Source organism: Homo sapiens, chromosome 8, assembly GCF_000001405.40.
Source record: "Homo sapiens chromosome 8, GRCh38.p14 Primary Assembly".
NCBI classification, from domain to species: domain Eukaryota; kingdom Metazoa; phylum Chordata; class Mammalia; order Primates; family Hominidae; genus Homo; species Homo sapiens.
The window spans coordinates 70,699,795-70,717,373 of record NC_000008.11 but is presented as its reverse complement, the minus strand read 5'-3'; the positions used below and the strand labels follow the sequence as shown (position 1 = coordinate 70,717,373).

Sequence of the window (17,579 nt, the reverse complement as noted above, 5' to 3'; positions counted from 1 at the left end):
GCAGAATTTTGCTGCAGGGGTGGATCCCTAATTGAGAACCTCTGCTAGGGCAGTGCAGAAGGGAAATGTGGGGTTGGAGCTCACACACAGAGTCCCCACTGAGGCACTGCCTAGTGGAGCTGTGAGAAGACAGCCACCATCCTCCAGACCTCAGAATGGCATCTCCACTAACAGCTTGCACAGTGCACCTGGGAAAACCACAGACACTCAATGCCAGGCCAGGAAAGCAGCCTGGAGTGGGGCTGTACCCTGCAAAGCCACAGGGGCAGAGCTGCCAAGGCCATAGGAGTCCACCTCTTGCATCAGCATTACCTGAATGTGAGACATGAAGTCAAAGGAGATCATTTCAGAGCTTGAAGATTTGACTGCTCCACTGCATTTCAGACTTGCATGGGGCCTGTTGCCCCTTTGTTTTGGCCAAATTCTCCCATTTGGAATGGGTGTATTTACTCAATGCCTATACCCACATTGTATCTAGGAAGTAACTAACTTGCTGTTGATTTTACAGGATCATAGGTGGAAGGGACTTGCCTCGTCTCAGATGAGACTTCAGACTTGGACTTTTAGGTTAAAGCTGGGATGAGCTAACATTTTGAGGGACTGCTGGAAAGGGCATGATTGTGTTTTGAAATGTGAGGACATGAGATTTGGGAGGGGCTGGGAGAGGAATGATATGGTTTGGCTTTGTGTCCCCACCCAAATCTCATCTTGAATTGTAATCCTATAAGCCCCACGTGTCATGGAAGGGACACGGTAGAGGTAACTGAATCATAGGGGTAGTTTCCCCCATGTTGTTCTCGTGATAGTAGGTTCTCACAAGATCTGATGGTTTTATAAGGGGCTTCCCCCTTCATTCGGCTCTCATTCTTCCTGTCACCATGTGAAGAAGGATGTGTTTGCTTCCCCTTCTGCCATGCTAGTAAGTTTTCTAAGGCCCCCCACCGCAGCCCTGCAGAATGTGAGTCAATTAAACCTATTTTCTTTATAAATTACCCAGTCTCGGGCAGTTCTTCATAGCAGCATGAGAATGGACTAATACACCTTATTATAACTACATAAGTGCAGTGTTTTTATTGCTTACTTTTCAAAAAAACACTCTATATTTCCTTTCTTTTAAAATATTTCATTATTCCTGGAGTTGACAACTGCCTTGTTTCCTCACTTGGTTAGTTTTCATAACCCTCTAATTATTTCTTAGCAAAATCTTCAAATTAATTAATAAAACTCCTCTATATACATCTACTAGTTCCTTTTTTTCTGGTTTTTTAGAACACCATTCTCCCACTCTAAGCCAGTTGCTCTTAAGTCTTGCTTCCAGTCTTCCCACAACTTCCCTTCACCTCTCTTCTATATTACTTTCCTGTTTCCTGGTTCTCCTATCATCTTTCTTGGTTTACTCTCATGTTTTGATTAAACTTTTGCCAGGCCTTCCTGAAAAAAATTTCTCAGAAGCAAAATTTTTTGAGACCTTATATATCTCAAAACATCCTAATTCTACCCTCATACTTGATACAGTTTTGCTTGAAAGAGAATTCAAAATCAAAAAAAAATGTTTTCCATTGAAACCTTAAACTTACTGTTCTGTTTTAATTTCACTGTTAAGGTTAAAAATTTCATGCCATTCAGTTTTTCTATCCTTAGTACATTACTTTTTTTCCTCTCAAATCTTCTAGAATCATCTTTCTTTGCTTCTCTGAAATGATATAATGATGTGCTTGATGTGAGCTATTTTTATTCACTTTTTCAATCTAATAACCCATATCATTTAATTATATGCCCTGTTTTTATTCTTTGGTGATTTCTCTAGAAATCATAACATGAATATTAAGCATATCAAAGTTTAAGGCTAATCAATATTGTTACCTCAAAGATTAATATATCAATACGATAGTGAAGCTTAAATTTCAGGGACTCTCACTTGCCCAGTCTCCTTCCAAGCCTAGCAAAGCCCTATCTGTTCACCTTGTCACATATTTTTATAAAATTTGCAAAAATAAGACATTTTAATTGCAGTTGATTAAATTCCCTGTCTCTTTCTATTCTTGCTTACTTTCTCTCACATATTCCCCTAGTATGTTCAAGTGGCTGTGGGCATTTTGGGGATGTGGCTAAGGGAAACTAAGTTGAGACTACATTTAGTTTAAGCATAGGGGACATGTTTACATGATTTGCTTCAATAAGTAAGATTAGTAAGTGGTGGAGCTAGGATTCCAAGGCAGTTTACCTGATCTTAACATTTCACTAAATTGTCTTTCAGATGTCAACAGCCCTTTTATTCCCAATGTGAAGGCACAATAGTCGATTCTCATCTAGTTGACACTATTATTTGACATTTTTGCCAATTTCCCACTTTCCTACCTGCTTCTAACATATTTTTTTCTATCATATTGCTGCCCTAACCTCTACATTACACTCTATTCAAACTAAATTTTGTGCCATTGTCAAACTATGCCTTTGTTATGCCTTTTCCTCAGTCTAAAATGACCTTGTCCAATCACATTATTCTTATTAATTCTTTACTTATTAATTCAGAGATTTTCATTAATTTATTTCTGATTTGGCATTAAGTACTGACATCAGTGAAGAAAATAGAGAACTCCCATCCATGTTCACTAAATAAGACATCAACAATAAACTAGAGATGTCAATTCAAACGCGAGTTAAAATTAGTCACTTTACCTAAAAAAAATCTTCAAATACCAAAAAATCCTATGGCACATTATTAAAGAAATTGATAGAGGTTTTCCAAAATTTGACAATAATTGAAAAATGCATATTTTATCAATAAGTTATGATGTTGACAAAAACTTTTTTAAATTTAAATAAAAACCAAATTCCAATCGACCACGCTAGAGAAAAGATTGAATTATTTTTTCTATTCTATGAAAATTATATTATAAAATCATCAAATCTAGAGCCAATCAGAGAGTACAAAGCCACAAATTTAGAGAAAAGAGTATTAAAATAATAAAAATATATTATTTTTCTTTCTTTTGTGAAATTTGTAGGTGTTAGCTTTCTTATATCTGTAATTTGCTGTAATTTATTTTCTTGTTTTAAATAAATATTTACATTAATATCTTTTATGGACTGTATTGCGTATCCCCAAAATTCATACATTGAAGCCCTAACTCCCAATGTGACTATATTTTGACATACAGCCTATAAGGAGGTAAAGTTAAATAAATAAGTTTATAATGGTGAGGCCCTAATCCATTAGGACTAGTGTCACTGTAAAAAGAGAAACATTAGAAATCTCTCTCCCCTCCTCTTCCTCTCCCTCCTCCTTACTCATCCCCACCCACCATTATGTGTGCACAGAGGAAAGGCCACATAAGCATGCAGCAAGGAAACAGCTGTCTGCAACCCAAGAAGAGAGGCTTCACCAGAAACCAACCCTATTGGCACCTTGATCTTGGACATCTAGTCTCTAGAACTGTGAGAAAATAAAGTTCTACTGTTTAAGCTACTCAGTCTGTAGTATTCTGTATGGCCGCCCAAGCAAACACATACAATACCTAATTTTTTTCATAATATTGTTATTTTTCTTAAATAGGGTCTCTCTAAATGTTTTTGCTTTACACTTTAAAAACCCCACATCCAACTTTGCTTTACCTTTCTCCTATACTATATAGGTTTTAACTCCACTTATTCTCCATCTGATTTACATGTTATCATTGTCCTGTATTTTCATTCTTCTTCTTAACCACATAGCATTTTGTTATAAAACAAAATGCCAATATTCATTTAGAATATTCAATATTCATTTATTCATTTAGAATCACCCATATACTTACTACTTCCTTTGCTCTTTACTTCTTCTTGTGCCTCAGAACATTTCTGTTTTGTCTGAAGTACACTCTCTTTGGAATTTCCTCTGGTGGGGATACACTATGGTATGAATTTCTTTCTGCTGAGTACGCTTGTCAGATGATGGGCTTCTTGAATCTGTGGGTAGGTGTCTCTCATCAGTTCTGAAATTTTTTGAGTGACTAACTTTTCAAATATTGCTTCCACTCCATTCTTTCTCTTCTCTCCTTTGGGGACTCTGTTCAGATGTATATTAGATGTTCTCACCCTATCTCTCATGTCTCTTAATATCTCTCTCATATTTTCTATCTCTTTGTCTCTCTAAACTACAATCTAGATAATTTCTTCTGACCTAGCAGTAACTCATTCATTGTCTATTTAATTCTGTCTAATCTGCTAATTTGTTCCTTTCAATTCCTGAATTTTCTATTTCAGTAAGTTCTACTTATTTCTTTTTCAAATATAAACTCATTTTTAATAGTTTTCTGTTCCATATTTTCAAGTTCATCTTTTAGTTCTTTAAACATAATAGGATACTTGTTTTATACTTTGCATCTGGTAATTTCCAAAAGTTCAAGTCTCACTGATTTTTTTTCCTATTTCCTCTACTTCTTATTCATGATATCTTAGTTGTTTTGGTGCTATAAACTACTGTCAAACTTTTGTTTTCCATTGAAAACTTTTGTAAAAATTATTTGAGGCCTAAGAGAAGGTGAATTCTTCCAGGGAGGATTTATTCTTATTTCTGCCAGACATGTAGGGGTACTATCAGTCTAGAATCACTCTAAACTATATTCATGGCTTGTCTTTTGTTAGAGTTTTTGTTTCTTTGTTTTGCAGGGGGAGTTATTTTGTTTGTTTTTTGGACTAGCCAACAGTTGTAAATTTTGGTTGCAAAAATGTACACCTTCTCAAGGACGTTTTTCTCTGCTCTACTCAGCATCAACACACTATTACTTGCAAACTCTTTGAAGTCAGGAGTCAGGTAGGTAACTTTACTCTTACCCTGAGAAGGGTACCTTTTGGAGTCCCAGTTTTATGGATTATAATTTACTAGGGGAGAGAGGTTCCTCACCAAGGTTGTGAGGACCCTGAGTTTTGTCTTCTGTGCCCTGAAAAGTCATCAAACTTGAAATTGTTTATAAGGTTCAGTAAAACCCTCAGAGTATAATTGCCTTCAGAGTCCTACTTAACTATGCTGCTTTCCCACTGTCATACATATTTTGGCCTGTTTTATCAGATATGTTATGTTTTAGGAAGATTTTTAAAGATATTTTATCCAATATTTTTAGATATTTTCAGGGGAAGAGTTGAATAACTTAGCCTCTCAGTGGAAGGGTTGATTTAAATAACCTAGGTTTTCCATCTGCTTTCCATCTTCTAAACATTTATTGATATTTCTAATCTGCTATTCTACTCTGCACTCTCTGTCCTTATGTGCTTATACTGTTTTTACTCTTTTACTGTGATTTCAGAAGGAACAGAAATAAAAGCACGATTTCAGAAGGAGCAGAAATAAAAGAATACGTTCAGTCTTCTGAAGTACTACTATACACAACCTGACTTTTTTTTCTTCCAACTTTTAAGTTTCAAGGGGTACGTGTGCAGGTTTTTTACATGGGTAAATTGTGTATCACTGGGGTTAGGTATACAAATAATTTCCTCACCCAGGTAGTGAGCCTAGTACCCAATACATAGTTTTTTGATCCTCACCCTCTTCCCACCCTGCATCCTCAAGTAAGCCCTGATGTCTATTGTTCCCCTCTTTGTGTTTTTCTTCCAACTTTTAAGTTTCAAGGGGTACGTGTGCAGGTTTTTTACATGGGTAAATTGTGTATCACTGGGGTTAGGTATACAAATAATTTCCTCACCCAGGTAGTGAGCCTAGTACCCAATACATAGTTTTTTGATCCTCACCCTCTTCCCACCCTGCATCCTCAAGTAAGCCCTGATGTCTATTGTTCCCCTCTTTGTGTTTATGTGTACTCAATGTTTAGCTCCCTCTTATAAGTGAGAACACTGTGGTATTTGGTTTTCTGTTCCTGCATTAATTCACTTAGGAGAATGGCCTCCATCTGCATCCATGTTGCTGCAAAGGACATGATTTCATTCTTTTTTATGGCTTTGTAGTATTCCATGGTATATATGTACCACATTTTCTTTATCCAATTCACAACTGATTGACATCTAGGTTGATTCCATGTCTTTGCTATTGTGAAAAGTGCTGCAATGAACATCTGCATGCATGCATCTTCATGGTATAACAATTATATTCCTTTGCATATATACCCAGTAATGGGATTGCTGTGTTGAATGGTAATTCTGTTTTAAGCTCTTTAAGAAATCTCTAAACTGCTTTCCACAATGGCTGAACTAATTTACATTCCCACCAACAGTTTGTATAACAGTCCCCCTTTCTCTGCAACCTCACCTACATCTGCTATTTTTTGACTTTTTAGTAACAGTCATTCTGATTGATGTGCAAGGGTATCTCATTGTGGTTTTGATTTGCATTTCTCTAATTATTAGTGAAATAGAGCTTTTCATATGCTTGTCTGCAGGTATGTCTTCTTCTGAGAAATGTCTGTTCATGTCCTTTGTCCATTTTTTAACGGGGTTGTTTGTTCTTTGCTTGATTTGTTTAAGTTCCTTATAGATTCTAGATTTTGACCTCTGCTGGATGCATAGTTTGCAAATATTTTCTCCCATTCTGTAGGTTGTTTGTTTACTCTGCTGATAGTTTCTTTTGCCATGCAGAAGCTCTTTAGTTTAATTAAGTCACACCTGTCAACTTTTTTTTTGTTGCAATTGCTTTTGTTTTTTGTTTGTTTATTTGTTTTTGTTGTTGTTGTTGTTGTTTGAGATGGAGTCTCGCTCTGTCACCCAGGTTGGAGTACAGTGGTGCGATCTTGGCTCACTGCAACCTCCGCCTTCCTGGGTTCAAGCGATTCTCCTGCCTCAGCCTCCTGAATAGCTAGGATTACAGGCACATGCCACCACACCCAGCTAATTGTTCTCTATGTTTACTAGAGATGGGGTTTCACCATGTTGGCCAGGCTGATCTCGAACTCCTGACCTCAAGTGATCTACCCGCCTTAGCCTCCCAAAGTGCTGTGATTACAGGCATGAGCCACAGTGCCCAGCCTGCAATCATTTTTGTAGTCTTTGTCATGAGATCTTTGCCAAGGCCTATGTCCAGAATGGTATTTCCTAGATTTTCTTCTAGAGTTTTTATAATTCTTCATTTTATGTTTAAGTCTTTAATCCATCTTGAGTTGATTTTTGTATATGGTAAAAGGAAGGAGTCCAGTTTCAATCTTCTAAACATGGCTAGCCTGTTTTCCCAGTACCATTTATTGAATAGACAGTCCTTTCCCTGTTGCTTGTTACTGTCGACTCTGTCGAAGATCAGATGGTTGTAGGTATGAGGCTTTATTTCTGAGCTTTCTAACCTGTTCCATTGGTCTACATGTCTGTTTTTATACCACTATCATGCTGTTTTGGTTACTGTAGCCATGTAGTATAGTTTGAAGTCAGATAGTGTGATGCCTCCAGCTTTTTTCTTCTTGCTTAGGATTGCTTTGGCTATTTGGGGTCTTTTGGTTTCATATGAATTTGAGAATCTTTTTTTCATTCTGTATAAAATGATAATTTGATAGGAACAGCACTGAATCTGTACATTGCTTTGGACAGCATGGCCATTTTAACAATAGTGATTCTTCCTGTCCATGAGCATCAAATGTTTTTCCATTTGTTTGTGTCACCACCGATTTCTTTTAACAGTGTTTTGTAATTCTCATTGTACAGATCTTTCACCTCCCTGGCTGGCTATATTTCTTGCTATTTTATTCTTTTTTGTGGCTGCTGTAAAAGGGATTGCATTCTTGATTTGGCTCTCAGCTTGGACATGGCTGGTGTAAAAAAATGCTACTGTTTTGTACATCGATCTTGTATACCAATTTTACTGAAGTTGTTTATCAGTTCTAGGAGCCTTTGGGTAGAGACCATGGGGGTGTTCTAGGTATAGAATCATATTGTTTGCAAACAGGGATAGTTTTACTTCATCTCTTCCTATTCGAATGCCTTTTATTTCTTTCACTTACCCAATTGCTCTGGCTAGTACTTCTAGCACTATGTGGAGCAGGAGTGGTGAGAATGGGCATCCTTGTCTTGTTCCAGTTCTCAAAAGGAATGCTTCCAGCTTTTGCCCATTCTCAGTATGATGTTGACTGTGGGTTTGTCATAGATGGTTCCATTATTTTACGTATATTCCCGGGCATCCTTTGATGCCTAGTTTGTTGAGGGTTTGTAACATAAAGGGATGTTGAATTTTATCAAAAGCCTTTTCTGTGTCTATTGAGATGATCATGTGGTTTTTATTTTTAGTTGTATTTATGAATCACATTTATTGATTTATGTATGTTGAATAAACCTTGCATCCTAGGAATAAAGCCTACTTGATCATGTTAGATCAGCCTCTTGATGTGCTGCTGGATTTCATTTGATAGTATTTTGTTGAGGATTTTTGTGCCTATGTTCATGAAAGATATTGGCCTGGAGTTTTCTTTTTTTCTTGTGTCACTGCCAGATTTTGGCATCAAAATGATGCTGACCTCAGAGAATAAATTAGGGAAGATTCCTGCCTCAATTTTTTGGAATAGTTTCTGTAGAATTGATACCAGCTCTTTTTTATACATCTGATAGTATTCAGCTATGAAGCCATCTGGTCTAAGGTTTTTTCTGGTTGGTAGGTTTTTTGTTACTGATTTAATCTCAGAACTCGTATAACATAATTTTATACATAGTTACTATAGAAAATTTGGAAATCCAGAAGAATATTTTTTAAATGAAAACAATCATTCATAATTCCTCCACCCAGAAGCAGACACACTTAACATTTTGCATATTTTCTTCCAGATATTTTTCTATATAATAATCTCTTTGTAACCTTAAAAATGTGCTGACAGAAAATTCTATAAACTGTGTTTTGCCTACATTCTACGTTATAATTGCTTTCTTGTGTCATTAAAAGTTCTTTGTAAACACTCTAGTGGCTACATAATGTTCCATACTAACAACCTACAATAATTTATTTACCAATTCCTCTATTGTTAGACAATTGAATTATATCTCATTTTATGCTATTTTTAAATAACTTACCTCAATTTCCTACTTCAAGAAGAAACTATATAGATGAAGATTGAATATAAAGATAGCTGGATCTCATAGGTAGTCCAGATGCTATGTATCCCTTGGAATTATCATAAGATCTCCCATAATACAGGCTGTAAGATCTAAATTTTGTACCTCTAGTTTCAGAACTATGTAATACAGAACTGTTAAGGGTTCCGTATCATATAGAACCCAATCCATGAATTATTTGCATCACAAAAAAGAGATCTCATACACAATAGAGATCTCATACACACAATCATTTTGTGTCTTACTAACAATCAAAGTAAAGGTAAAATATTAGAAGGGACCATGTTCTAGAGGTTTACAGGAAAATGGGAACAGAGACACTGTTTAACTGATATAACATGTGAGTCTAGGACAGCAAGAACTCCAGGGAAGATAACAATCTTATCCCCTGAAATAAATCCGAAACTAAATGGAACCCTAGTCATTAATGCAATTTGTGATTATTATTTAGCAAATAAATTGTTTTTTAACATCTCAAGTTAATTACCTATAAAAGGATTTTTCAAAAAGGAAGATGGAAATAGACTTTTCTTTAAAAAATGAACATTTTTACCTTAACAAACAAATCTACTGTAAAACAGCAAACACATTGGCCAACTTGCAAAACATTCATTAGTTTTTTAGCATTTACACTCTTACCCAGTAATTCCACTTCTGGGAATTTACCCAATGGATATACTTTTTACATGCAAGTGATTTATGCATAAGATTACTCGTTGCAGCATTTTTTCAATGGTTAAATATAAGAAACAACCTAAATTAACATAAATAGGGAGTTTGTTAAATAAATTATGGCACATTCATAATTTGCAATACTATGCAGATAATAAAAATGAATGTGGGAAATTTTTCTGTACTAAGATGAACAGATCTCCAAGATATACTATGAGGCACAAAAAACAAAGACAGTTTTTATTTTATGTTACCATTTGTGTTAAAGAAAAAAGAAAAAAAAGGACATATGCTTTTAAAAACTTCTCTGAAGGAATCATCAAATAACTAACAATAGCAGTTTTCTTTCTGGGCAGATGAATACAGTATATTATCTATATACTTTTTGATATTTCAACCATGTTACTGTACTTCCTTTTCAAAAGAATAAATAATTTTTAAAGTATTAAAAATTTCTAAAGTCAGCCAAAGATTTATATAGTTGACGTAAGGTCTCAGTGGCATCCATTTAACACAAGGAGTTAAGAAAAACTTACACTGACTGAAATTCGCTTGTCCATGCTCCAGAAGAATGTAGAGTTGAAGAATAAGTTGTGGGCAGCCTTCCAGGTAGGTCTCAAATAGTCTGAGCATGCTCAAATCAGTCACTCTATCTATAACTTCTTTATGTAGATCAATTTGTTCTTCCACGAAGTTACTAGTATTGCTGTCATATTTAAAAGCTGCATGGTAACCCCTTTTTAAGGCAAACCAATACCTATAAAGTAAACATAAACATTTCTCTTTAGTTTTATATTCTTTGTAACATGTCTGTTAATACACATAATAATTTGGAAAAAGGAATATGTGTTTTAAGTACACAGTTTTTCCACAAACTCTCTCTACTACAGATTTTTTGTGAACATCTCATAGTGGCTTTATTGAGATTCAGACCCTGTAAACCTTTATTGTATGTTTGATGTGCCAGTTGTGTGCTAGTTCTATTAAGTATACATAATCCCATTTCATCTTTACAATAATTATGTGAGAAAAGGAGACATTATTCCATTTCACAGATGGAAAAACTAAAGCTGAGAAAGATAGAGTGATGTGCTGAAAGTTACACAGATAGTAAGGGGTAGACACAGGGTCCAAACCCAGATCTTATTATTTCTAGTATTAACCACTACTTTCTGAAAGACAAACTGCAATTTTTCATTCATGCAATTGATCTGAACTACAACACAGATAATTTCCCTTAAGAGAATATCAAGGTTGAAGATGAGATTGAATCTTCCTTAAATGTAATCTAGAAAACAATTAGTCAATACCTACAAGATGCTAGGCTCTTTGACCATTACCATCCCAGAAAATATATAAAACTTCAAAGACTCTTGAAATATCCCTGGTCAGACTCTTCTTCTGAAAGAATTTTAAAGTGAACACAAGTTATCATCCCATAGATAAAATCGATAACAAAAAAAATTGAAACATTTATTTAGAAGAAATCTGAGGCTAGCAGTAAGGCAACCAGAATTCTTCCCCCAAAGCTTATCAAAAGTCTTTATATATGTCTCAGTTTCTTCACATATAAAATAAAGGCAGTGATATATGCCCTGTTTCAACCTGTTCCTTCTGCCAACGTTTCCCATTTCAGTAAATGGTAATAACATTCACTATATTGCTCAGACCAAAAATGTGGGAATAATTCCAATTCCTCTTCTTTCATGTGCTATAAAAATTCCTCAGCAAGTTCGCTTGGCTCTTGGTTCTAACTTCAAATATATCCAGAATCTAAACACTTCTTACCACTTCCACTACTACCACCCTTGTTTAAGCAGCCAACTCTCTGGCCTGGATTCTTTCAACAACCTCATAATTGGTCTCTCTGATTCTACTCTTGCTCCCCATATAAGCTATTCCCTACACAGCATTCAGATTAAACTTTTTAAACATAATTCAGATGTCACTACTCATTGGGGTAGAAAATGTTCCAATGATTTCCATCAAACTTAGAACGAAATCCGAAGTCCTTATCATATGTTACAAGGCCCTCCATGGTCTACTTCCCACACATGCTACCACCACAACTACCTTTCCATCTCATTTCTCTCCCACTTCCAGTATGGCCTCCTTGCTGTTTTTCTCAACTTAAGGGCCTTTGTCTTTGCTAATTCCTCTGTCTGGAACTCTTCTAAACTCCATATATTTTCAGTTTGCTCCTTAACTTTATTCAGGTCTCTACTCAAATATTACTTACTTATAGATGCCTACCAGATCATACCACCTAAAGTAGTACTCTCTACCATATTCTATCTCTTTACCCTATATTATTTTTCTTCGAAGTACTTATCACCACCTAGCACATTATTTATTTTTGTTTATTATCTTTACCTTCTCACAAGAGTGTAATCTACATGAAAGGACAGACTTTGTTTTGTTCATTGCTATATCCTAAACAACTAAGAATCGGCACATAATAGGTGCTCAAGAAATATTTACTGAAGTAATAAATGAAAGCTCATGACATTTTTTTCCATAAAGATAAATAGATGGTAGGTATGAAAGGGCTTTGGAAAGCTGAAAGTAAAACACAAATATAAAGTATTCCCATTGTAAATAAGATAAATATATGGATATGCAAAGATTCTTTGTCTGGCAAAAAGGAGCATATTTTTACCATCACAGTTCTGGAATAACATTCCCTGATGAAGGCATGGTCTCTACCCACAATGACCTCACAACCTAATGGGAGGGCCAAGCCTATAAACTACTAGCTGCAGTATAAGGCAGAAAAAAAATAGTCATTCATTAGAAAGGCAAATGTTGAGCTGTAAGTACAGAAGAAAAAAAATGATTAATACTGCCCAGGATTTATAAGCAAGATTTCTAAGAAAAGTCGTGTTTTAGCCTTTTCTGGGTATCTGACATAGTAGAGAGTATGTGATTCCTGTTCTTGAAGTTGTTTATAATCCAATAGGGTAGATACTATTGAAAAACTTGAGAAATTCACAAGTATAAACATACCCAGAGCATAATTATTACACACAGCAGAAATTGAGAGAGGTAGCAGAGCAAAGTAGTTAAGAATGCAAGACTCTAATAATGCCAGAATGCCGTGGTTCAAATTCTGGCTCCACTACTTCCTGGTTTAATCTCTCTGTGCTTTGGTTTCCTCATCCGGAAAATAGGGCCAATCATCATACCTCCCTCATTGGGTTGATGTGAGAATTAAATGAGTTAATATATGTAAAATGCTTAGACCAGGACCTGGCACATGTTAAGTGTCTCTTAAAAACAAAACAGATAGTGCTGTCTACAAATGTACACATTTTAATGTCCAGTGTCTTTAGGTAGAAATATTTTCTAATTCTGAAACAATTAATGGCAAATATATACAAAGTTCTGCTTATCTGAGGGTAATTTCATGGAAAAAGGAATATGAATATAATTTTTAATCAATAGGACACAGTTTCACTTATTTATTTATTTATTTTATTGTTTATTTTATTTTATTTTATTTCTTTTTGAGATGGAGTCTCCCTCTGTCGCCCAGGCTGGAGTGCAGTGGCACAATCTCTGCTCACTGCAAGCTCCACCTCCCGGGTTCACACCATTCTCCTGCCTCAGCCTCCCGAGTAGCTGGGACTACAGGTGCCCGCCACCATGCCTGGCTAATTTTTTGTATTTTTAGTAGAGGCAGGGTTTCACTGTGTTAGCCAGGATGGTCTTGATCTCCTGACCTCATGATCCACCCACCTCAGGCTCCCAAAGTGCTGGGATTACAGGCGTGAGGTACCACGCCCAGCCTGTTTCACTTTTATGAAACAAATGATGAATAGGCCAAAAAAAAGAAAAACAGAGAGGGCTTTCTTAACATAGTGTATTCCCATATTTTTATCCCTATATCTTCTTTTATTTGAAACAAAAAGCCACCAGCTTCCAGTAATGATGAGTTACATCATATCAGGCTGATTCCCCTACTGATTACAAATATAAATTCCAGACAAAATATAAAAGAAAACAAGGCAGAAAAGAGCAACAAAAGTAGGATTGGTGAACATGAAGATAGGTGCAATAGATTAAATGTCTGGGTTACCTCAAAATTCATACGTTGAAACCTATTCCCCAATGTGATGATATTTGAGGTGGAGAGCCTTTTGAAGATGATAAAATGAATGGCATTAGTGTGCTTATAAAAGAGGCCCTAGAGAGCTGCCTTGCCCATCCACCATGTAAGAACACCACAAGAAGGCACCATCTATGACACCAAATCTTCCAGCACCTTGCTCTTGGATTTCCCAGCCACCAGAACTGAGAAATAAATTTTTGTTGTTTAAAACCTGTATTTTGTTTTATAGCCACCTCACTAGACTAACACTCAAAAGACTTAAGACCTCACTAGACTAAGACTAAGGGTCAAGAGAAATCACCCAAACTAAAGCACAAAGGGGAAAATTTTAGGAGAAAAAAAAATGAACAAAACAACAATAACAGGTAAAATTGACATCCTAGAAGAAAAGAGAGAGGGGCAAAAAAAAAACACTTGGAAAAATATTAACCCAAAACATTTGTTACATTTGATCAAAACCAGTAACATACAGACTCAAAAAGCTCAATGAACCCAAGCAAAATAAATACCCAAACACCATACATAGGTACATCTTACTCAAATTGCTGAAAATCAAATGTAAAAAGAAAGCCTGAAAAATAGAGAAAAAAGACATATTCCTCACAGGGAAACAATGAGAGTGTTGGCTGACTTCTCACCAGAAACAACAAAAGTCAGAAAACAACCATATCAATAATTACACTAAATGTAAATGGATTAAACACTCCAATTAAAAGAGATTATCAAACTGGATTTTTAAAAAGCAAGATACAAATTCATGTGTTTTAGAAGGGACTCTCTTTAAACATAAAGACTCAGATAGTTTGAAAGGAAATCACCAAATAAAAAACTTCATATGGCTATATTACTATCCCAGACAAAACAGACTTCGAATCAAGGAATACTACCAGAGATAAAGAGGATCAACATGTCATAATAATATAAGAATAAATTCATCATGAATACATAATATTTTAAAATCTGTATGCACCTAATGGAGCTTTAAGGTACACAAAGCAAAAATTGACAAAGGTAAAGTGAGAAAAAGATAAATCCGCATTCTCAGTTGAGGATTTTATCACCTCTCAGTAATTGAAAGGAAAAGGAGACCTTAAAAATATCAATAAGGACATTGATAATTTAACATTATCTGCCTAATTGACCTAACTGACATTTATAGAACATTACGTTCAATAACTGAAAGTTAAAAATTCTTTTCAAATGCACATGGAATATTCAACAAGTTAGACTACATGCTGGGCTATAAAAACAAGTCTTAATAAAGGCAAAAAGACTGTAATCCTATGAAGTATGTTATTATAATAAATTTAAGTGAGAAATCAATAACCAACATATTTTTTAAATCCCCAAAGATTTGGAGACTGAGGTAAAATTTATCCTAAAGTTTTATAAATATTGAACCCTAATAAATTTGAACATAACTACATGACCTCTCTCTAAGGCGTTTTAAATTGAAAAATAGGTAAGAAGGAGAGTTCAACTATTTAATGCCCATTTAACTCCATACAAGGGCCTAAGAATCTGTGGGAGGAGGGAGATTCAACTCCCATTATATTCATTTTTATAGAATTTAAACTTTTTATATGTACTAAAAAGAGCAAAAGCCATTTCCACATTTTAAATAATTAAAATGCCTTTCATATATCCATCAAAAGAAAACTCTCCTTTGGCAGAGAGAGGTTTTTATCACAAATCACACATCAAATAGAAATGCAAAACTGTCATTTAATTTATATTCTGGAAAATGAAACATCCTACTCCACAGACCCCTGAACAGTAATGGCATACATAGTAGCAAGAGGCACACATACCTAATAAATAATTCATATTGATATTCCTTGTCTTTCATCTACCAACATGAATTCAATTTTTCTATTCCTTAGGGAAACAAATCCACAATTCAGCAAATCTCAGGTTTTGCAATACTTAGCCTGGACAAACCTTTGGATAATTTGGCCCATTTTTATGAACTGTTCTAATTTTTGCTCATTTCTCACTGTCTATCTCAGTATTCTGCCACTTCCTGAACTAAAAATATACAAAGAGAAAGGAAAAGGGTGGGGATGTGAAGTGGCCAAGATGGCTGACTAGAAGCAGTTAGTGTGCCTGGCTCTAAGAGAGAAACAGAAGGGGCAAGTAAATACAACATCTTCGAATGAAACATCCAGGTACTCACATTGGAATTAATCAAGGAAACAACCTGACCTACAGAGAACAAAGAAAAACAAGGCAGGACAGAGAGGTGGCAGCCAAGATGGACGAATAGGAACAGCTCCGGTCTACAGCTCCCAGCGTGAGTGACGCAGAAGATGGGTGATTTCTGCATTTCCGTCTGAGGTACCGTGTTCATCTCACTAGGGAGTGCCAGAGAGTGGGCGCAGGACAGTGAGTGCAGCACACTGTGCACGAGCCGAAGCAGGGCGAGGCATTGCCTCACTCGGGAAGTGCAAGGGGTCAGGGAGTTCCCTTTCCTAGTCAAAGAAAGGGGTTACAGACGGCACCTGGAAAATCGGGTCACTCCCACCCGAATACTGCGCTTTTCCGAGGGGCTTAAAAAACGGCACACCAGCAGATTATATCCCACACCTGGCTCGGAGGGTCCTACGCCCCACGGAGTCTCGCTGATTGCTAGCACAGCAGTCTGAGATCAAACTGCAAGGCAGCAGCAAGGCTGGGGGAGGGGTGCCCACCATTGCCCAGGCTTGCTCAGGTAAACAAAGCAGCTGGGAAGCTCAAACTGCGTGGAGCCCAGCACAGCTCAAGGAGGCCTGCCTGCCTCTGTAGGCTCCACCTCTGGAGGCAGGGCACAGACAAACAAAAAGACAGCAGTAACCTCTGCAGACTTCAATGTCCCTGTCTGACAGCTTTGAAGAGAGCAGTGGTTCTCCCAGCACGCAGCTGGAGATCTCAGAACGGGCAGACTGCCTCCTCAAGTGGGTCCCTGACCCCTGACCCCCGAGCAGCCTAACTGGGAGGCAACCCCCAGTAGGGGCAGACTGACACCTCACATGGCTGGGTACTCTTCTGAGACAAAACTTCCAGAGGAACGATCAGACAGCAGCATTTGCAGTTCACGAAAATCCGCTGTGCTGCAGCCACCGCTGCTGATACCCAGGCAAACAGGTTCTGGAGTGGACCTCTAGCAAACTCCAACAGACCTGCAGCTGAGGGTCCTGTCTGTCAGAAGGAAAACTAACAAACAGAAAGGACATCCACACCAAAAACCCATCTGTACATCACCATCATCAAAGACCAAAAGTAGATAAAACCACAAAGAGGGGGAAAAAACAGAGCAGAAAAACTGGAAACTCTAAAAAGCAGAGCACCTGTCCTCCTCCAAAGGAACGCAGTTCCTCACCAGCAATGGAACAAAGCTGGACAGAGAATGACTTTGACGAGTTGAGAGAAGAAGGCTTCAGACGATCAAACTACTCTGACCTACAGGAGGAAATTCAAACCAAAGGCAAAGAAGTTAAAAACTTTGAAAAAAATTTAGACAAATGTATAACTAGAATAACCAATACAGAGAGTGCTTAAAGGAGCTGATGGAGCTGAAAGCCAAGGCTCGAGAACTACGTGAAGAATGCAGAAGACTCAGGAGCTGATGCGATCAACTGGAAGAAAGGGTATCAGTGATGGAAGATGAAATGAATGAAATGAAGTGAGAAGGGAAGTTTAGAGAAAAAAGAATAAAAAGAAACGAACAAAGCCTCCAAGAAATATGGGACTATGTGAAAAGACCAAATCTACATCTGATTGGTGTTCCTGAAAGTGACAGGGAGAA

General features: G+C 36.6%; 1 protein-coding gene across 10 annotated transcripts in view; it reads right to left on the bottom strand.

Annotated features, from left to right (window-relative positions):
* The window catches only part of XKR9 (XK related 9), a 396,467-nt gene that overhangs the window by 348,432 nt on the left and 30,456 nt on the right, over positions 1 to 17,579 (bottom strand). For 9 of the 10 annotated variants that reach the window (XM_011517527.4, XM_011517525.3, XM_011517524.4 and 6 more), the window contains one exon: positions 10,221 to 10,441. In XM_011517527.4, the coding sequence (XP_011515829.1) occupies positions 10,221 to 10,441 (221 nt within the window). Of the gene's footprint in view, positions 1 to 3,796; positions 3,949 to 10,220; positions 10,442 to 17,579 lie in introns of those variants that run through there. The other variant, XM_011517526.4, reaches the window with a different exon arrangement.